The sequence below is a fragment of the Homo sapiens genome, chromosome 4 (genome assembly GCF_000001405.40).
Source record: "Homo sapiens chromosome 4, GRCh38.p14 Primary Assembly".
Lineage (NCBI taxonomy): Eukaryota > Metazoa > Chordata > Mammalia > Primates > Hominidae > Homo > Homo sapiens.
In genome coordinates this window covers 107685436-107708515 of record NC_000004.12, presented here as the reverse complement: position 1 = coordinate 107708515, position 23080 = coordinate 107685436, and the positions used below count along the sequence as shown (strand labels likewise).

The window sequence follows — 23080 nt, the reverse complement described above, 5'->3', positions numbered from 1 at the left end:
ATTAGATATATGTTTCTTCTTGTCTATAAAGAGTGAAGTAACTTGGAAAAATCCTCAAACAAAATGACCAAGCCAAACAGGTTCTACCAGTATAGGCAGCAAAATGTGTATAGCACCCTCTGCAATTCCCTTTTAGCAGAGACTTTAGCTCCCTTTTCCTCCTTAGCCAGTATCAATGGGAGCTAAAGCTAAAGAGGTGCCACTGCTTCTCAAGATATACAAATGTCTACTTCTGAAGCCCTCTTTTTTAAGTTCTTGGAAATGTAGAGCTGGTAAGTTGTATTTGCTTCATCAGTTTATTGAAAAGAAATGAATCTAGAGACTCATTACAATTTTTTGTAAGTGATTATTAAATATGTAAAAGTATTTTATTGGAAATAAAGTATTAATAATTATTGTGTAAATAATTATTGTTAATGAGATGAGTAGATGGGAAGGGGTGCAGCTTTTGTGGCATACCTATTAAAAAGAGTTGTCAAATTGTCCCTTTGGTCCCAGAGGATTTTTCAGGTAATGGTAATGATGATAATAAGATTCAGATGTGTGGGAGATGGCATTTCTGCTGTACAGGATTGTGAAGGGGAAGGTAGGAAAAGAGATCCTTAATCTCATGGAAGTTGAAGATTTGTATAGAAATTTAATTCCTTAAAAGTCAAATCTGTGTATTGGTGGAGGTCAGCAAAATGACAGAATGGGACTTCCCAGTGCTTGTCTTCACACAGAAACATAAATTGAACAACTATTCTTGCACAAAAATACTTTAATAAAAGCTAAGGAAACCAGGTGAGAGATGACCGCACCTGGATGTAGCAGAGAAATCAGAAAAAACACATTGAAGAGAGTAGAAAGAACAGTTTTACATGACCTATATTACTGCCCCCAGCCTGCAACCTCAGGCAGCACGTGGAGAAAGATACCCTTTGCTTAGGGGAGGAAGAGGGCAGTAAGCAAAAGATTTTGCCTCAGAACCCAACACCAGGCCCACCTCAGTGAAACTCAGTGCAAGGCAGGCCCCCGTAGCCCCAGACTCCAGGATGGTACCTATGGATTGAGCGTCCAAGCCTACCCTGGTACTAAGCAGGATTCTGCAGCCCAAGGTTCCAGCTCCTCCAACCTCCACCACCAGGCCAGACCCAATTGATGCAAGTTTTAGACTTGTCTTAGGGCCAGGCTGGCCCCAGTGGCCCTGGGCTTAGAGCTACCTTTAGTACCAGGCTGGCTGTCACAGGCAGGCACCTGTGGATACAGGCTTCAAGCTGTCCCAGCTTCAGGCCCTCTCCAGGTTTCAGACCAGCTGAGAGCCAGGTTGGCCCACACAGCCCTGGGCTTCAGGTCTGCCCCAGTACAAGGCCATTCCCTGTAGCCCCACCCTCCAGGCTGGCTGCTGCAACCCCATACTTAAGAGATCCAAGGTTTCAGGACCATCCCAATACATCTCAGCACTATACCAGCTCCCATTGACCCAGGCTGTAAGACCATTTCTGTGGACCCAGGTTCCAGGCCAGCACCCATATGCTGAGCATCTAGGTCAGCTCCCATGGCTTCAGGGCAGGTCCTGTGATTCTAGGTAGGCTTCAGACCAACCACTGTAGACCTAGGCTTCCACATCCGCTCCAGCACCAGCTGAGCTCTGCCTACCTGCTGACCCAGATACCAGGCCAGCCTCCCTGAGGACTCCAGCAGCAAGCCTGCCTGTGCACCATGCCAGATGGCCTTCCCAGATTGGACAGGCTGACTGGTGAAGTGCTTCCCAAATAAAGCCAGTCTACAAAGACTGGAATCAGTCCCTACCTCTTCATTGTACAGATATTGATATAAGACAACAAGAAATGTGAAAAAACAAGGAGACTTAATACTACCAAAAGTATCAAAATAACCTTCCAGTAGCTGATTCAAAAGAAATGGAGATACATGAACTGCCTGAAAAAGAATTAAAAAATAATTGTTTAAGGAAGCCCAGCAAACCTCAATAAAATAGAAATAATTCAGTGTATTCTGGAAAACAACAAATGACCAACATGAGAAATTTAACAGATTGAAATTATTAAAAAAATAAAAAATTCTAGAGCTGAAAAATTTAATGAATAAAATGAAAAATGCAATAGAGAGCATCCATAGAAGCACTGATCAAGCAAAATAATTGTACTTGAAGACAGATTTCTTCCATAGTTAGAGGAGGAAAAAGAAGAATGAAAAGTAATGGAGAAAGCTTACAGGATTTATAGGACAGCATCAAAAGTACAAAAATTGAGGTATAGGAGTTCAAGGAGAAGAGAAAGAGGGTTACAAAGCTTATTTAAATAACAACAGAAAACTTTCCAAATCTGGGGAAAGGTATAAATAAGTACAGGAAGATCAAAAGTTCTAATCAGATTCAATCCAAACAAGACTACCTCAAGACATATAGTTAAACTGTCAAAAATAAAAGAGGATTCTGAAAGCAGCTAGAGAAAAGCAAATCACATACAAGGGAGTTCCAAAAATGCTAGCAGCAGACTTTTCAGCAGAAATTTTGTAGTCCAGGAGAGACTGGGTTGACATGTTCAAAGTGTTGAAGGAAAAAAACCCTGCCAACAAAGAATACTGTATTCAACAATGCTGTAATTCACAAACACAAACATACAGACTTGCCTAGACAAAGCTAAGGGAGTTCATCACTACCAGACATGTCTTAAAAGAAACACTAAAGGGAGTTCTCCAAGCTGAAATAAAAGGATGCTAATTAGTAACATGAAAGTATAAAACTCACTGGTAAAAGTAAGTCCACGGTCAAGTTCAGAATAAATACTGTAATTGTCGTGTGACAATAATTTATATCTCCGGTATGAATGTTAAAAGACAATTAACAATAGTGACAATAATTTGTTAAGGGATGTCTTCACTGTTGAGTTCTACCAAACATTTAAAGAAAGATTAATGCCAGTCTGTATTAGTTCGTTTTCACACTGGTATAAAGAACTCTCTAAGACCAGGTAAACTATAAAGAAAAGAGGTTTAATTGACTGACAGTTCTGCATGACTGGGGACGCCCCAGGAAACTTATAATCATGGCGGAAGGTGAAGAGGAAGCAGGGCACATCTTACATGGTGGCAGGAGAGAGAGAACAAGGGGGGAAGTGCCACACTTTGGAACTATCAAATCTTGTGAGAACTCACTATCACGAGAGCAGCATGGGTGAAAGCACCCCCATGATCTGATCACCTCCTACCATGTCGCTCCCTCCACACATGGAGATTACAGTTCGAGATGAGATTTGTGTGGGGACACATAGCCAAACCATATCACGATTTTTTCTCAAACTCTTCCAAAAAATTAAAGAGGGAATACTTCCAAATTTATTTTATGAGGCCAGCATTACCTTGATACCAAAGCCACAAAAGGACACTAGAAGAAAAGAAAATCACAGGCCAGTGTCCCTGATGAACATAGATGCGAAAATCCTGAACACATAGTAGCAAACTGAATTATATAGCACATTAAAGGATCATTCCTCCTTATCAAGTGGGATTTATTTCAGGGATGCAAAGATGGTTCAACATAGGCAATTTTTTCTTTTTTTTTTTGAGGTGGAGTTTTGCTCTTGTCACCCAGGCTCGAGTGCAATGGCATGATCTTGGCTCACTGCAACCTCCGCCTCCTGGGTTCAAGCAATTCTCCTGCCTCAGCCTTCTGAGTAGCTGGGACTACAGGTGCATGCCACCATTCCCGGCTAATTTTTGTATTTTTAGTAGAGACGGGGTTTCTCCACATTGGCCTGGCTGGTCTCAAACCCCTGACCTCAGGTGATCCGCCTGCCTCGGCCTCTGAAGTGCTGGGATTAGTGGTGTGAGCCACCATGCCCAGCTAACATATGCAAATTAATAAAGGTGATGCACCACACTAACAGAATGTAGGGCAAAAAACCTATGATCATCTCAATAGATGCAGAAAAATTATTTGAAAGAGTTCATTAACCTTTTATGATAAAAACTCTCAACAAATTAGGAAAAGAAGGAATGTACTTCAACGTAATAAGGGCTACATAGTTCAAGCCCACAACTGACATCATACTCAATGGTAAAACAGGAAAAGTTGAAAGCTTTCCCTCTAAGATCAGGAGCACAACAAGGGTGCCCACTCTTACCACTTCTATTCAGCATAGTACTGGAGGTCCTAGACAGAGCACTTAGACGAGAAATAAATAAAAGGCATCCAAATTGGAAAAGTAGAAGTTAAATTGTTCCTGTTTGCAGATGACGTGGTTTTAAATAATATGGAAAACCCTAAAGATTTCACCAGAAGACTGTTAGAATAAATAAATTTAGTAAAGTTGCAGAATACAAACTCAACATTAGAAAAGTAGTAGTGTTTTTATATTCTAACATTGAAGTACCTGTAAAAGAAATAAGAAAACAATCTCATTTATAGTTGCTACCAGAAAAATAAAATACTTGGGAATACATTTAACCAAGGAAGTAAGAGACCTGTATACTGAAAACTGTGAAACATTGATGAAAAAAATTGAAGACAGAAATAAAAGGAAACATTGTATGTATTCATGGATTGAAAGAATTAATATTGTTAAAATGTCCATACTACTTAAAGTGATCTACAGATTCAATGCAATCCCTATAAAAATTCCAAGGATTCTTCACAGAAATAGAAAAAGCAGTTCTAAAATTTGTATGGAACCACAAAAGACCCCAGATAACCAAAGCAATCTTGAGCAAAGATAACAAAGCGGGAGGTATTAACATTACGTAACTTTAAAACACACTCTGAAGCTATAGTAATCAAAACAGCATGATACAGAAACAAACATATAAACCATACAACAGAGCAGAAAGCCCAGATATAAATACATGCATTTATATTTAATTGATTTTTGACAAAGGTGCCAATAATACATGATGGGGAGAGGACAGTCTTCAAAAAATGGTGTTGGGAAAACTGGATATCTGCGTGAAGAAGAATGAAGTTAGACCCTTATCTCACCTCATATAAAAAAAACTCAAAGTGAATTAAAAATTTACATGTAAGATCAGAAAGTCTAAAACTGCTAGAGGAAAGTAGGAAAAAAGTTTTATGACACTAGTTTAGGCAGTGATTTTTTTTTTTTTTGGATATGACTCCAAAAGTACAAGCAACAAACATGAAAATAGACAAATGGGAGTACATCAAATAAAAATTGTCTCCACAGCAAAGGGTGCAATCAACAGAGTGAAGAGACAACCTACAGAATGGGAGAATATATTTGCAAACCATACATCTGATAAGGGGTTAATATCCAAAATAGGAAGCCAAACAACTCAGTGGCAAGAAAACAGTGCAATTAAAAAATAGGCAAAGGATCTGAATAGACATTCCTAAAAGGAAGATAGACAAATAGCCAACAGGTATATGAAAAAAGGCTCAACTTCTCTAATCATCGGCTCAACTTCTCTACTCATCAGGGAAATGCAATTAAAACCACAGTGAGCTATCACCTCACACCTGTTAGAATGGCTGTTATAAAAAAGACAAAAGTGTTGGTGAGGATGTGAGAAAAGAAAATCCTAGTGTGCTATTGTGGGAATATTAGTATAGCCATTATGGAAATCAATATGGAGGTTCCTCAAAAAATTAGAAGTAGAACTACCATATGATCCAGCAATCCCACTACTAGGTGTATAATGAAAGGATGTGAAATCAGTATGTAGAGTAGATATTGGCATTCTCATGTTAATTGTAAATTGCAGCACTATTTACCATAGTCAAGATATGGAATCAGCTTAAGTGTTGACCAGTTGATAAATGGATTAAAAAAAAGTAGTATATTTACACAGTGGAATACTATTGAGTCTTAAAAATTATACAAATCCTTTTGTTTGTTACCACATGGATGATAAAATGTTAAGTGAAATAAGCCAGGCACAGAAAGGGAAGTACCATATGATCTCACTTACATGTGGAATCTAAAAAAGTTGCACCTGTAGAAGTAGAGAGTGAATGGTGTTTATCAGGGACTGCGAGGTTTGGGGTCGAGTGGGGGTCGAGGAGGATGGTTGGAGGAGATGTTGGTCAAAGGGTACAAAATTTTATTTAGATACAAGGATTAAGTTCAAAAGATGTATAACATGGTGATGATAATAACAATGTATTTCTGAAAATGCTGCTGTGGACATATGTATGTACAAGTTTTATGTGATCATATGTTTTCATTTCTTGTGAGTATAATGTAGGCATGGGATTGTTTGGTCATATGATAACTCTGTATTGAACATTTTGAGGGGCTGCTGTTTTCCAAAATGACTACTATTTTCGCAACAACAAATATATGAGGATTCCAATATTTCCATATCCTCCCCAGTACTTGTTATTATCTGTCTTTATTACAGCTATCCTAGTGGGTGCAAAGTGATACCTTATTGTAGTTTTGATTTGCATTTTCCTGGTGGCTAATGATGTTGAATATTATTTAAATAATGTGGCTTATTGACCATTTGTATGTTTTCTTTGGAGGAAAGCCTGTTCAGATACTTTGAGGCCTAAGTAATTTTATGCTTTTTTTTTTTTTTTTGAAGCAGCTTTGGGAGAACATGAAGTTATAACCAGTACATTCCACTTTTTTCATTTCAGAAGTAGCTATCTCATGATACCCATAGGCATCTCTTTCACACTTTCTTTGGGAGTCTACTCAAATGTCACCTTCTTAGCATTTCTTGATTATCCTCTCTAAAGAGGCACTCTGTTTCCTTTTTTACCCTATGTTATTTTTCTACAGTGCACTTATCACTCTCTGATGTTGTAGTTAAGTTTTATTGGTTTACATTGTTCCCCAGTGGGATGTAAGCTAATTGAGGGTAGTGACCTTGTTTTGCTCACATGGCATACTAGTAGGGCCTCAGTAGATACTATCTGAATGGATGAACGAATAAATGAATGTGTGAAAGGACTAGGCTCTGGAGTCTGCCACTCACTAGTTTTGGGATCTCCGGCAAGTTATTTACCATTTTTCAGATTTAAAATCTTCATCTGTAAAACCTTAGTAGTAAGAGTACCTATGTCATTGGATTGCTGTGAGGATTAAATCAGTTGGCATGTGGAAAGCAGTAAACACCATGCCAGTACTCTAAGGAAAAAAAAAAACTGTTTTATCTTTTTCTTTGCTTTTGGCATGTTACATAGACTTTTGTGTGTTTGCAAGGAATATGTGTTTGCCTTTTAAAGGACTCATGTAAACTAGAATTTTTTTTTTCTTTTTTTTCTAGGGAATGCAGAGAGCAACCAATGTCACCTACCAAGCCCATCATGTCAGCAGGAACAAGAGAGGTCAGGTGGTGGGGACCAGAGGTGGCTTTCGTGGTTGCACAGTTTGGCTAACAGGTATGGTCAAGAGAGAGAAAGCAGTTTATTTTAAAAGCAGTGCATATAGGTAACCTTGGACTAGGCGTAAGCATATTTAAATTTTGAGCTCTGTTCTTGTATTTGGAGCATCACGACATATAACTGACATAGTTGCTTAATAATATTTCTTGTTATTTTTTTTTTTGTTCTTTTATAGGATTGCTGTTAAATAAAGGTAAAAACCACAATGAACCTTAAAACTACTTTTTCATAGATAGCACATTAAATTCTACACACTTCTGAGTGCAAATAAGATCTGGATTCTGCTCTGAGAAGCTAACAGTGAAAACCATACGTCTTAGTCTATTTTATGCTGTTATAACAGAATACCAGAGACTGGGTAATTTATATGAATAGAAATTTATTTCTCATAGTTCTGGAGGCTGGGAAGTCCAAGATTGAGGGACTAGCATCTTCTTGCTATGTTTGTAATACAGCAGAAGGCATCACATGCTGAGAAAGAGCAAAAGATTGAACTCACAGCCTCAATCCCTTTTATAGATGGATTATTCCATTAATGAGGGTGGAGCCCTCATGACTTAAACACCTCCGTTAGACTGCATCATTCAACACTGTTGCATTGAGGATTAAGTTTCCAACACATGAACTTTGAGAGACACATTCAAACCATAGCATGGTACAACCAGAAAGAATGAGTGGCAAGAATTTTCACAAAGTGAATTTCTATTATTCAGCTTTTGCTATGGCCTTTGATTGTTTCCCTAGAGTCTTGTCTTTTGGCTTAGTCATAGCAGGCTGGTGAGTGACTGAATTGATACAGATTTTGAAGTAGCTTTAAAAACGATGGATGCTTTCACTTCTGTGAATTATATTTAAAATTTTGATACATTTTGCCACATTGCCCACTAAAATTTTATCCCAGTTTACTCTCCTACCAGCAGTATGGGAGGGTGTTTATTTCCCAGTGTCTTTGTCAACAGTGGTTGTTACCAGTTCTTAAAAATTTGTGCTGATTGGCAAAAAAGTTACTCTTTTGTTTTTTTAATCATGTTTCATTTTTAGACAGGTCTGTTTGTTTTTGTATGAAAGAAGATACACTCTCACATTCTTCCCATTTCCTCATTCTTAATTCCAGACAGTTAAATTGTTACATTTTTATTGCCCAGGTTTATAGCACTTAATGGGTCAATAGTTGGTAGCTTCCCATCAGTTATTTTACTATGACATGTTCACTCATGAGCTCTTTATTTGAATGGTCTTTAATTGTCTGTATTTCATTGTTAAATAATTTTTGCAAGATGGCCTTCCATTAGGTTCTGAACTCCTGGAGGTTTTATGTTTGAGAATGACTACCTTTTATGCCAACTTGGCTGGGTAAAATATATATTTGGTTCATACTTTCTTGGTCTTGGAATTTTAAAAACAGTACTCTATTGTCTTCTGGCATTAAATGTTTTGAATAAGTGTGAGCCTAATCAGCTTTTTCTTTTTAGGAGCGTTCCTTTTTTCATCTGGATGACTAAGGAATTACTTATTTCCCTGTAAAAATACAGGGAAATAGAGGCTTTTGTCTTTCTCAGTTAGGTCCTTATCTGCAGTTGATTTTTGTGTATAGTGTGAGGGACAGATCCATTTTCGTTTTTTTCCATGTGGATAATCACTTATCCCAAGAACATAGATTTATGAGGGTGTCTTTTTTCTCTGATCTGCAGTGTCTGCTTTGTTTTATATCAGGTCTCCACTTATGTGTGGGCCCTCTGCTCTGTCCCACTGATATATTTGTCTGTTCCTCTGTTAATGCCACATTTCTTAGTTACTGTATTTTTATAAATCTTGAAGGACAGTGGAGTAAGTCCTCTTACCTTGTTCTTCATCAGCAATGTTGACTTTTCTTTTTCATTGTGACTTCCTTTTTTTTTTTGGCTCTTAGTGTTGTCTAAATCTTGTAATAGATTTAACCAATTCCCCTGAACTCTGTTGTTATTTAGTTTGGGATTGCATTGTATCTAAGATTAATTTTGGGGGAAAATTGATCTTTAGAATATTGGGTACTCTTTTTCTTGAACGTGGTGTTTTCCATTTATTTCATCACTAATGATACTTATAAATAAAGCTTATCTGATTTTTTGGTACTTGCTCTGTGGTCTAGTATGTAATAAGTTTTCAGTCATCACCTTGCCCCCACCCTATGCCTTCCTCAATTGGGACGGGATGGCTAGAATTGGCTGGAGTTGGTATTTCCCTTCCCCCAGGTCAGTTAGGTTCCAATAAAACCTCAGCAGGTTAGGCTTTGGTTAAATAGTTTCTCCTGAGTTCAGTCCTTGTTAAAAAAAAAATCTGGTGCTCTGGTGTATTTCAGAATGGAAGCACTTGGGGATTTTTCTCCAATATTTACTGTGAGAACCTGATTGAGCTCCTGGAGGTGAAACTCACAATGTTGTGGGGCCCTCCCTATAACGAGGTTCCTTTGAAATTTTTAACTCTCGGACTTGTCCACACTGAGCCTTAATTAATTCATCAATTACAGTTTAGGTTTTTCTGTGTGACACTGGTTCCCACAGTACTTTTCCCCACAGTGAGTCTCTGCTGCAGTCAATAGTTACTCCCTTCATTTGCCTGTCTCCCCATTCATGGAGGCAGTGGTTTGCCCCCTGTCCTCCCCTCACGGATCCAAGAAGAGTTATTCTGTTCAGGTTTTCACTTGTTCGGATGTGGTGGTGACTTTCAAGCTCCTCCCATGTGGACCTGGAAAACTTGTAGTTTTCATAAACGTGTATTTGAAAAGAATATGTATTCACCTGATGTGTGCAGTATTCTGTATAATAGATTAAGCTTGTCAGTTGTGGTGTCAAATCTTCTGTAGCCTTCATATATATGTTTTTTGATAATGATGTTGGACATGGAAGTCAAGATTTGTTTTTTTCTTGCAATTCAGATGCTTAACCTGGATCTGCCCAAGCTATTGAGTGATTTTTGTATGCTGTTTTGCTAGACGTGTTTCACTTTTTATCAGATTTTATTTTAGGGAAATTTTGTTGTTTTGTGTTTCTACATTGGTTGGTATATTAACTTCCCAGGGCTGCCATAACAAATTAACCACAAAATAGGTGGAAGAAATTTATTCTCCCACAGTTCTCGAGGCTAGAAGTTTGAAATTAAGTTTGTGGTGAGGTTGGTTCCTCCTGTAAGTGCTGAGGGAGAATCTCTTCTGTTTCCCCCTTGGCTTCTGCTGGTGGCTGGCAGTCCTTGGTGTGTGGACGGATCACTCCAATCTCTTTTTGTCTTATAGCCTTGTAAGAACACCAGCTGTTGGATCACCCTAATCCAGTATGACCTCCTCTTAATTTGATTGTGTTTGTAAAGACTCTATTTCCAGATAAGGTCACCTTCTGAGGTTCTGGGTGGACATGAATATTTGGGGAACACTATTCAACCCAGTAGAGCTGGTTTCTATTCTTCAGGTATACCAGTTATCCATATCTTAGATTTGGATTGCTTATCTTGTATTATCAGTTTCCTCTGACTGCTCTGTTGACTATAATTATCTAAATGAAACTGTTTATATCAGTAATTCAATTTTCAACAGTGCTTATTTGTTTCAAATTAAATATGCACTTAAAACATATAAATACACATGTATGTATGAACAGACACTTTTATTATAATTTAGGTTGTTTTTGTTGTGTAAAAGTTTAGAGTTTCAAACTTTTTTTTCCCTGATACTTGATGCTCAATTGGTGGTTAAAAACAACAATTCAAAAGAAATAACGAACAACCTTTTTCACCCTAGCCACCATCCCTTTGTTCCACCTACTGTTACTGTGTAACAATTTGCCTAAAACCCAGTGTTGTAAAACAATTGCCATTTAACTTTGCTTACCATTTTGAAGGTAAGGGATTTAAAAGGGCTCAGATAGGCAGCTATGCTTAGGGCTTGCTTGGTTGTTGTCATGCTGGCCTGGGCCACAGTCATCTGAAGTTTCAGCTGGGCAGGATGTCCAAGATGACTTACTCAGATGCTGCTGGTTGTCAGCTGGGAGCTTAGCGGGCTGAGAGTGGCTGGTACACCTGCTTGGGATCACGTTAGCATGGTGGTCTCAAGGGATTTAGTCACTGGCTTCTCCCAAATTAAGTGACCAAAGAAAAGCTGCATAGCATTTTGTGACCTAGCCTTGGTAGTCACACATCATCGTGTCACTATTTCACTACATTCTTTTGGCTGCAGGTAAGTCCTAAGGCCAGCCCACATTTTAGGGCAGGGAATTAGTACCTCTTGATGTGACAGTAGTAAAGTCACATTGTAGACACTTGTAGGATGGGATATTCAGTTGCAGCCATCTTTGGAAAATGCAGCTGGCTACAGTCATTAATATCGGTTTTTAATGTATAAAGCAACTGACACTGTATCGATGCTCTCAACATATCCTCCTCTTCTTTTTTTTTTAAATTTTTCTTTAAGGTCTGGGATACATGTGTAGAACGTGCAGTTTGTTACATGCTTGTGGCACGGTGGTTTGCTGCACCTGTTAACCCATCATCTGGGTTTTAAGCCCCACATGCATTAGCTATTTATCCTGATGCTTTCCCTCCCCTACCTACCCCCACTGGGAGGCCTCCACCTCCCCACCGATAGGCCCTAGTGTATGTTGTTCCCCTCCATGTCCATGTGTTCAGCTCCCGCTTATGAGAGAGAACATGCAGTGTTTGGTGTTCTGTTCCTGTGTTAGTTTGCCGAGGATGATGGCTTCCAGCTCCGTCCATGTCCCTGCAGACGACATGATCTCATTCCTTTTTATGGCTGCATAGTATTCCATGGTGTATATGTACCACATTTTCTTTATCCAGGCTATCATTGATGGGCATTTGGGTTGGTTTCATGTTTTTGCTATTGTAAATAGTGCTGCAATAAACATACATGTGCGTGTATCTTTATAGTAGAATGATTTATATTCCTTTGGGTATATACCCAATAATGGGATTGCTGGGTCAAATGGTATTTTCTGGTACTAGGTCCTTGAGGAAGCACCACACTGTCTTCCACAATGGTTGAACTAATTTACATTTCCTACCAACAGTTTAAAAGCGTTCCTATTTCTCCATAGCCTCTCCAGCATCTGTTGTTTCTTGACTTTTTAGTAATAGCCATTCTGACTGGCATGAGATGATATCTCATTGTGGTTTTGATTTGCATTTCTCTAATGATCAGTGATGTTGAGCTTTTTTTCATGTTTGTTGGCCACCTAAGTGTCTTCTTTTGAGAAGTGTCTGTTCATATCCTTTGCCCACTTTTTGATGGGGTTGTTTATTTCTTCTGTATTAAGTTCCTTGTAGATTCTGGATATTAGACCTTTGTCAGATGGGTAGATTGCAAAAATTTTCTCCACATATGCAAATCAGTAAATGTAATCCATCACATAAACAGAACCAATAACAAAAACCACATGATTATCTCAATAGACACAGGAAGGGCCTTTGATAAAATTCAACATCTATGTTAAAAACTCTCAATAAACTAGGTATTGATGGAACATATCTCAAAATAATAAGAGCTATTCATGACAAACCCATAGCCAATATCATACTGAATGGACAAAAGCCGGAAGCATTCCCTTTGAAAACCGGCACAAGACAAGGATGCTGTCTCTCACCACTCCTAGTCAACATAATATTGGAAGTTCTGGCCAGGGCGATCAGGCAAGAAAAAGAAATAAAGGGTGTTCAAATAGAAAGAAAGGAAGTCAAATTGTCCCTGTTTGCAGATAACATGATTCTATGTTTAGAAAGCCCCATAGTCTCAGCCCCAAAACTCCTTAAGCTGATAAATAATTTCAGCAAAGTCTCAGGATACAAAATCAATGTGCAAAAATCAAGCATTCTTCTACACCAACAATAGACAAGCAGAGAGCCAAATCATGAATAAACTCCCATTCACAATTGCTACAAAGAGAGTAAAATACCTGGGAATACAACTTGCAAGGGACGTGAAGGACCTCTTCAAGGAGAACTACAAACCACTGCTGAAGGAAATAATAGAGGACACAAACAAATGGAAAAACATTCCAGCCTCATGGATAGGAAGAATCAGTATCGTGAAAATGGCCATACTGCCCAAAGTAATCTATGTATTCAATGCTATTCCCATCAGACTACCATTTGATATTCTTACAGAATTAGAAAAAAACTACTTTAAATTTCATATGGAACCAAAAAAAAGCCCTCTCTTCTATTTTTTTTTTTATTCCAGTTAGCCTTCTGTACTACCATGAATTCTTTCAAGAGCATTGGTACATTAGACTTTAGTATTTTATCTCTTGTTTTAGAACTATCTTGGTTATGACACTCGCCAAGTTGGCAAGTAATAGTGCATAAATGTACTCTTTCCTTCTCTTTGTTTACTGAGTAAATACTGTTGGTATAGGAAGGTGAGTTGAAATGAGGGTGTTCTATTAAAATTAATTATATTATAAATTGGACTCCCAGATAATTGTATCAAGGTGGTTTGTGAGTGCTGATGATCTAGGAAAATGGAGGTACCTTTGTAACATTTCTTTCTTTTGTCCTTTCTTTTTCTTCCCTCACCAGAAATAATTTGGGCATATGACTTTGTTTTAAAATTTGGCATGCAGCTTTAGAAAAGTGGTAACGAGAGGACAAAGTGAATTCCCAACCATGTCTGCTAATAAAATTAGTTAAGCCTTTCTGAAGTTTATCAGTGATTTCTGATACGTTTGCTCATAGATATTTCATTAAAACAAACACTTATTATGTTTAAACTGTAGGTGTTTTCCTAGGCAAGAGGTAAATCTTAAAGAGAAATATTAGATAAGAACATTACTGAGAGATTGCTTTGCATAATGAATGTATTTAATCCTGTGATTGCAATTTTTTATATCTCTTGAGCCAGGAGTTTGAGACCAGCTGGCGCAACATATTGAGAATTCTGTCTCTACAAATAATAAAATAAGTTGGATGTGGTGGCATGTGCCTGTTGTCCTAGCTATTTGGAAGGCTGAGGCATGATCTCTTGAGTCCAGGAGTTTGAGGCTGCAGTGAGCTATGCAGCCTCTGCACTCCAGCCTGGGTGGCAGAGCAAGACTCTTGTTTCTGGGAAAAAAAAAGTATTACTACATAGTTATCCTTCTAACTTTACACATGGAATCTGTTTGGACTGTTTAATTTTAGGCTTGTCTGGAGCGGGAAAGACTACTGTGAGCATGGCCTTGGAGGAGTACCTGGTTTGTCATGGTATTCCATGCTACACTCTGGATGGTGACAATATTCGTCAAGGTCTCAATAAAAATCTTGGCTTTAGTCCTGAAGACAGAGAAGAGAATGTTCGACGCATCGCAGAAGTTGCTAAACTGTTTGCAGATGCTGGCTTAGTGTGCATCACAAGTTTCATATCACCTTACACTCAGGTATGTGGTTTTTGTGCCATTGCCTTTCTGCTTACATTTATTGAGAATATGGTATCAGGCAAAGCACATACTTTAAACATTGATATGTGCTTTGAGGCTAACTCTACTCCTCCCCAGCTACCATCTCTTTGTTCCTGTAACATAGGATTAAAATAACCTAAAACATTTCTATGCTGTGACTTTCTAAGTAAATCTGGTTTTGATAAAACCTGCTTTTAAAAAAGCCGTGAAGTATAACACAGTCATTGAATTTAAGCCAATGGCCAAATTATTTCAGGCTCAACTTTTCAACTTAATAAAACTATAGTGAATACTTGACAGATGTCAAACTCCGGAGAAAATCTAACTTTCTTAACATGTGCCCTACCATGGCTTCTTTGCTCAGAATTCGTTGTTCTTAGCTTGCATCATAGTTCCTCTTATTTTAGAGACTGCAGCAACAACAAACCATGTTTGTGTATTTCTCTGAAAAAATTATGTCATTTCTTATCTCAGGATTTTTGTTTCCTCCCTGCCTGGAAAGCACTCTTCTCCCTCCTGTTCCTGTTTTCACAGTGTCAGCTGACTTCCAGTTATAGATGGAGACTTAGGTTAGGTACCTTAACACATTATTTTATTTTCTTCAACTTTTATTTTAAGATCAGGGCTACATGTGCAGGTTTGTTAAATTGGTAAACGTGTGCCATGGTGATTTGCTACACAGATCATCCCATCACCTAGGTATTAAGCCCAGCATCCATTAGCTATTCTTCCTGATGTTCTCCCTCCCCAACCACAACAGTCATCAGTGTGTGTTGTTTCCCCCCATGTGTCCGTGTGTTCTCATTATTCAGCTCCCACTTATAAGTGAGAACATATAGTGTTTGATTTTCTGTTTCTGTGTTAGTTTGCTGAGGTTAGTGGCTTCCAACTCCATCCATGTCCCTGCAAAGGACATGATATCATTCCTTTTTTAGCTACATAGTATTCCATGATATATATATATATATATACACACCGTGTTTTCTTTATCCAGTCTATCGTTGATGGGCATTTAGGTTGATTCTATGTCTTTGCTACTGTGAATAGTGTTGCAGTGAACATACTCATGCATGTATCTTTGTAATAGAGTGACTTATACTCATTTGGGTATATACTCAGTACTGGGATTGCTGGGTCAAATGGTATTTCTGCCTCAAGATCTTTGAGGATTCACTGCACTGTCTTCCACAATGGTTGAACTAACTTACATTCTCACCTACAATGTAAAAGCATTTCTTTTTCTCCACGAGCTCACCAGCATCTATTGTTTCCTGATTTTCTAATAACAGCCATTCTGACGAGTGTGAGATGGTATCTCATTGTGGTTTTCGTTTGCATTTATCTAATGATCAGTGATGTTGAGCTTTTTTTCATGTTTGTTGGCTGCATGTATGTCTTCTTAAGAGAAGTGTCTGTTCATACCCTTTGCCCACTTTTTAATGTTTTTTTCTTGTAAATTTGCTTAAGTTCCTTGTTGATCCCATTCTGTAGGTTGTCTGTTCACTGTGATGATAGTTTCTTTTTCTGTGCAGAAGCTCTTTAGTTTAATTAGATCCCATTTGTCAAGTTTTGCTTTTATTGCAATTACTTTTGATGTTTTTGTCATGAAATCTTTTGCCTGTGCCTGTGTCCTGAATGGTATTACCTAGATTTTCGTCTAGGGTTTTTATAGTTTTGAGTTTCACATTTAAGCCTTTAATCCATCTTGAGTTAATTTTTGCCTATGGTGTAAGGAAGGGGTCCAGTTTCAATCTTCTGCATATGGCAAGCCAGTTCTAGCACCATTTATTAAATAGAGAATCCTTTCCCACTGCTTGTTTTTGTCAGGTTTGTCAAAGATAAGATGGTTGCAGGTATGCATATGTTATTTTTAAAAACCCAATTCATTGACTGTTGATATTGATAGTAGCTGTAGTGGTAATAATATTAACATTTATTGAACACTTAACTGTGTTCTGGTAACTGCTAGAGTGCTTTTATGTGAATTAACTCAAGTAATTCTTGTCTCCTAGTGGGGACACAAGGAAACAAAGGTGTGCATTGCCCAAGGTCACACACTATACTTGTAGAAGAGCACAGGTTTGCATCCAGACAGTGCGTCTCCTGGGCTTAGATGCTATGCTGCCTCCAAACCCCACTGGCTCCTTGACAGCTGGGACCGTGTCTTATTTGCCTTTGTAATCTTGATGCCAAGCCCGGCTCTTGGACCATATTATATGATTAGTGTTTGTTGAACAATAGCATACTCCCTTGGGAAGCCCTGATATCAGTGAATAAGCGAGTTAGTATAGAGGTGAGAGGCAGGGTCTTTGGAGTTGGAAACAAAGGGGCTGAAATCTCAGCTCTGCCAGTTATTGCTGCTGTGGCCTTGTCCAGCACACTTAACCTCCTGCAGTTCAAGTAATGCCTACAACATAGGGTTGCTCTGAAGATTACGTAAGTCATGTGTTTAAAGCCTCAGCACAGTGCCTGGCATGTAATAACTATTCAATAAATGGAATAAATTATATTAGCACAATTCTAGTACTGTATCATAAATTTTGATGGTTACTTGGACTTTTTTTTTTTTTAAACAAGATTTGACCTGTAAGAATTATGGATAAGTGTTAGATTGAGTATTATTTACACAGGTTCACTTAATTGAACCATGGCAGGAGTCCTAAAACATTCTGTAAAAACCATTTCTTGAAACCCTTGGGTCATTGCCAATATATCAGTTTAAAGTGTATAAATAATAGGAGCATAATAAGAGTTAGAGTTCCTGAATCCTTGGATATACACAATTTTCATAAAAATATGATATTGGCATTCTTATACCTTCTGGTGGGAATCTTGCAGCTCTCGGAAAAGGGGGAGGTCTATAATACCTGTTATGGAGAGCTATCAGCCGACACCTGGGTATCTAAGAGTGTGTGCTGATCTGCTTTGTGGCCCCCTTGTTTGTATAGTGTGGAGCAAAATCTTTGTTGACCTCATCTATAAAAGCACTGATAATGAGGTTTGGACTATGTTTAGGGCATCTGAAAATCCATGAAAATATTTGGATTGAAACATGCAATACAGGACATGTGTATTTTTCTGTATAGTCATGATTATATTTGTTCATTCAAGAGAAGTTTATTGGGAATTTCCATGTCAACCACTGAACTGAGCATATTGGTTCTGAAAATTAACCTGATACTTCCTATTCTGAAGGAGTTGGTAGTCTGGTGGGAATGCGGAGATGTGAAGAGTTACAATATCTTGAGGCAAGTGATGAAGTACATATATGTGAAAGGTGTTATGAGAGAATCACAGAGGAGCTGCTGCTTGAAATGAGTCATGAAGGATGAATCAGAGTATACTAGTTAGACCAGAGGGAGAAAACTGTTTCAGACAGAGGAGACAGTATAGTATGCTCAATGGAATGTGAGACAGTTTGTTTTTTTGGGGAACTGTAGGTAGGTTGGTGTGACTGATATGAAGGATGATTGTGAGGGGAGATGGAGCTGATCAATTTGCAGAGGCTAGGTGGTGACTTCTGCACTGCTCAGAAAGGATTTTGCCCCAAAAGGAGTTAATAGTTTGAGATTATAACAGAGATTGGTATCATTGGGTTTGCATTTGAGTGAGGTCATCCTTGAAGCCTGGATTGAGACTGGTCTGGAGGTAGGAGACTAGCCAGGAGGCTTGCCGTAGCACCAGCTCCTTCAGGGAAGAGGATGTGAACTCAAGCAGCAGCAATGGGACTAGTAAAGATGGGGGCATATTTAAGGGCTCTTGAGGCTTGAGTAGCATCAGTAAGACCTGGTGCCTGCTTGATTGCTGATTTTATGGGAGAGCAGAATGAAGCATGGTGCTTTCTGAATAAAGGTTGGTATGACTGAGTTATGAAGTACAGGATAGGAGGGGAGGACATGCGTATTTCATTTTTGGTGGGTTATGTTTGAAGTGCTAGTGGAGTTAGTCTAAGTGGAGATTACCACTGGGCCATCTAGGAAATTGGTTTTAGAGTTTAGGAAAGTTGTATGGGATTGAGATCTAGATTTAGGAATCATTAACTTTATTAGTTGAAACCTAGATGAGGACGATTAGATACAGAAGAGTAATAAGATGAGAGACAGGGATAGAAACTCATTGACACTTTCCTTTAAAAGGATAGTTAGAATAGTAAGATCATAGCTTAATTGCTATTCCAGACACTAAACTTGTAAAGCTGATGAGATGATTTTAATATACTGGAAAAAGATCTATGATCATATGTAGTGAGTATTCTGAGAACCCTGAGAAAGCAAGGGGCCTCATCAGCCTGAGCATGCAGGGAAGGCTTCCTGGAGGAGGTCACCATGGAGATGTGCTGTGAGGAAGCACATTGGTTTGTCCAGAAGAGAGGGGTTGAGTGTTGCTGGTAGGGGTTGGGTTGTGGCGTGGGGAGGCCTAAGGTAGAAACAGCCTGACCAGGCAGGTATTATCAATAGAGCATCAAGTGCAAGACTGAGAATGGTGGGGCCAGGTATAGGGCTGATGCCTCACATTAAGAAACTCGGATTTTACCCCAGTAGTGGCAGAGAGTCTCTGAAGAGTTCAGTAGGATGGTCAGATTTGCATCCTTTGCCACAGTGTAGATTATGGCTTTGAGCAGATCCGAGTTAGAAGCCAGAAGACCTGTAATATGTTGAGGCCGTTCAGACAAGAGAAGTGAGGTTGAACTAGGGAATAGGGAAAGATTGCAAACTGGGTTGGTGTAATATTTAGAAGTAACATCTGAAGGACTTTGTGACTGAATTAATGTATGGGAAAGGGAAGGAACCACTCTTAGGATTGTGGGTGTGTAGTGTGGTCTTCCTTGATTTGGGAAGCATATGAGAGAATGTAAACTTGAGAGAAAAGGGACTGGATTTAGTTTTGGACATGCTTAGTTTTTGGCACCTGTGATATATCCAGGTGGACATAGGAAGAATTTGGACATGTGTGTTTAATTTCAGGACAGAGGTCAGGGTTCAAGCTTCAGTGTTGATGTATGTGTTGTAGTTTATACTGTGAAGGCACTTGAGAGAAACGCTCAAGAACTGTGTAAGGTGAGCAGTGGGCTGTGATGGGAGTGTGGGCAACTCCAGTGTTAAGGGATGGGTGAAATAGGAGGAGCCCAGGAGGAGTCTGCCTAGGAAAGATCAGGGAATAACATTATAGGCATCCATAGGCATAGCAGTGGGAAAGCAGCAAAGAGGCCTGGTATTTTAAATACTGAAAAGGACCTATGGTTAAGGGAAAGTTTTTATATGATTTGTTAGTTCATTATGCTGAAAATTTTTTTAGAGACAAGATCTCACTCTGTCACTCAGCCTGGAGTGTAGTGACTATTCACAGGCACAATTGTAGTGTGTTACAGCCTGGAACCCCTGGGCTCAAGTGATTCTCCTGCCTCAGCCTCCCCAAGTAGCTGGGACTATAAGCGTGCTACACCACTGCCCTTAGCAGTTGTTTTGTTTTAAATGGGTGAACTTCCCTTAGCAGTTCATTTGTTTTAAATGGACTTGTACTTGTTTGTTGCTGGGGAGCAGGGAACCCAGCAAAGGGGGAATGCTGAAGATTTCAGGTGGAGTAGAGAGAATGGGTTGAACAGGTCCTGTAGGAGTTCATGAAAGGGGAGGGAATTCCTAGTATGTGAAGGTAGGAGTGGCAGGGAGAAAAGGATCATTAGTATGTAGATAAATTTGTATGACAGAGAAGAGATTTTGCTTGAAAGAGAAGAGATTGAGAGCTTATTCTTGGAGATTTGTTTTTTTTTTTTTTTTGAAACATGAAGTATGGTAATCTGGTGAGAGTGGAAGTAGGTGAGGATTGTCAGAGGGACCATAAGGAAGATGGCAAATGCTAAAATGAGCTGTGTGGAAAAAGGATGGTAGAAATTGCAGGGACCAGCTTTGAAAATATTGGCAACTGCACTTTGATTAATGGAGTATAAATGTGGAGCAAAGGGAGAATCAGGTTTTGAAGACCAGAAAGAAGAAAAGGTTGATTTACAAAGGAAACATTGTTCCAAAGGACAGAGTGGAGAGGGCTTAGAGGGAGCTGCAAGGGTGGTTACTAGAGAGTTGGGAGTTAGGAGCAGAAAAGTTAAGTTTGGGGAGTGTTAGAGAGGAGAAGTGGCTGCAGGGGGCTTGCATTTGGCAAAGAAGTAAACTAGCCTCAGGATTCTGAATGGATCTTTTTTGTGAAATTGCTTTCATGCCAGCTCAGGCTGGGTTTGAATGTGATATTAGAGAGAAGCCTGATGACACCAGCATTCAGGCTGGGCTTTGGCTCAGGATCCACGTAGAATTTGAGTGAAAAAGTTTGTGGTACATTCATTGTTTTCCTTCTGTACCTCCCCAATATCCTGGGTTAGTAGAACAGTATGCCTTTTAAAATTGTCATGAATAATAGGAATTAACCTAATAATTTCTTGGATTTTTTTTTCAGTTTATATTTAAAAACATAAATTTTGTCTATTTCCCACTAAATTGGATGAGAAGCACTTTTTACTCATCTTTAATATTAATATAGTACGTTTGTGATTTGTGTGATCACTTTTTATTTTATTTTTTTTTAAGGATCGCAACAATGCAAGGCAAATTCATGAAGGTGCAAGTTTACCGTTTTTTGAAGTATTTGTTGATGCTCCTCTGCATGTTTGTGAACAGAGGGATGTCAAAGGACTCTACAAAAAAGCCCGGGCAGGAGAAATTAAAGGTCAGTAATATTTTCTTCCCAGTTTCACTTTGCTTAGATATTTTATGTTCCCATATCTAGGATTGATATTTTCTAAGAGATTGGAAGTGTTAGAGTGACTTGGAGCTCCTTGAGGAGAGAATGTAGTCTTATTACACTGTTCTATCTCTCAGGCATAGCAGCAGTGCCTGGTGCTGGACTAAATGAGTCTTGTTGATCCTTTTGGAATCCTGTTCACTAGCCAGAGTTGGGGCTCGGGAGTTGGCGAAAACCTACTTGATAAAATTAGGTGCCTAACATTAAGTTGGACATCAGTTGCCTGCTGCCACCAATTCTACTTTCTTTGTTCCAGGGAAAATGGAGGAAATCCCATAGCTATTGGAAAAAATGCCTGAATTATAAGCATCTTGATGATAAGGATAATGCCTTGTACTTTATTACGATCCTTGGAATGGTCCCTTATTCATTTCATGTACTATTGTTGAATTAGATTGAATTAACATATCACTGATTCTGTTAAAATATATACAGCTGACCCTCCACATCTGTGCATTCCACATGTGTGGTTTCAACCAACCGTGAATTGCATATATTCCAGAAGAAACAGTATAAAATAATACAGCAATTTAAAAATAGTATAAATAACAAATATAGTATAACATCTATTTATATAACATTTACATTGTACTAGGTATTATAAGTAATCTAGAGATGATTTAAAGTATATAAAAGAATGAACATAGGTTATATGCAAATAGTACACCATTTTATGTAAGGGACTTGCACATCCTCACATTTTGGTGTTCACAGGGAGTCCGGGAACAAATCCGCATGATTACCAAGGGACAGCTCTACACCTTGCTTTTTAGGTTTTATGGTCCGCTTCCCAGAGTTTCAACTGTGATGGACATTTAGACATTGAGGGAGAAATTTAGAACCCAACTCTGCTCTGGCCTTTGATATTAATCATACTATTTATCTTGTAGACATCCCTTGACTTGTCCTGTTCCATTATTGTTAACAGAAACAAAGGACTTGCTGGCAAAAACAAAACAAAAACAAAACGAAACAAAACAAACAAAAAAACTAACTAAAGATACCATTGTTTAGGGATCAGTGAGTCATGCAGGTAACTTTTAAGTTTGCCTTCCCAGCAGGGAATGTGATAACCTGAGACTGTCACAGAAACTCCCAGGAGCTCTCTCAGAGATAGATTTTGGCATTCAGTTTCTGGCCCTGAAAACAAAAAGATACAGTGGGAAGGAAAATGGTAGTTATTCTGGGTTCTTCTGTATTTGAACCTGGGAATGCTTTGGCAATTAGGTCAGGTTCCATCTGCTGTAGTAGCATTAGTTCCATGGGCAAGGCTGACCTCCGGTAATGCCACTATGGAGAATCAGCTCCTTGATGGGGACTGCTGCCTGTCAACCCTCTACCTCATTAAGCTGTTACTTTCTTGACTCAGAAAGATCAGGCTGCTTAACCAGAATAATTATGACAATTGGAGGAAAACCTGTTTAGCCCTTCAGCTCCCATATTACTCTCTCAATGGCCAGTTTTCACTTCAGTCTTTGTGTAGAAATTTGGCACAGAAAAGCAAAATGGTGTGTCCAGGATCCTAAAT

The 23080-nt window shown here is 38.8% G+C and overlaps 1 protein-coding gene across 3 annotated transcripts in view, besides 1 other annotated feature; it reads left to right on the top strand.

The window, feature by feature from the left end:
* PAPSS1 (3'-phosphoadenosine 5'-phosphosulfate synthase 1) overlaps positions 1–23080 on the top strand; it is a 106569-nt gene that overhangs the window by 11719 nt on the left and 71770 nt on the right. For all 3 annotated transcript variants that reach the window (NM_005443.5, XM_011532401.2, XM_011532400.3), the window contains exons 2-4: positions 7231–7345; positions 14510–14745; positions 21339–21477. In NM_005443.5, the coding sequence (NP_005434.4) occupies positions 7231–7345; positions 14510–14745; positions 21339–21477 (490 nt within the window). The remainder of the gene's footprint in view (positions 1–7230; positions 7346–14509; positions 14746–21338; positions 21478–23080) is intronic.
* Positions 3459–3623: a silencer, noted in NCBI's record as "fragment chr4:108626049-108626213 (GRCh37/hg19 assembly coordinates)". NCBI's record gives its function as "represses an EF-1alpha promoter that drives an FKBP-Casp9 reporter gene in an ReSE screen in K562 erythroleukemia cells {active_cell/tissue: K562}" and the evidence as "EXISTENCE:reporter gene assay evidence [ECO:0000049][PMID:32094911]".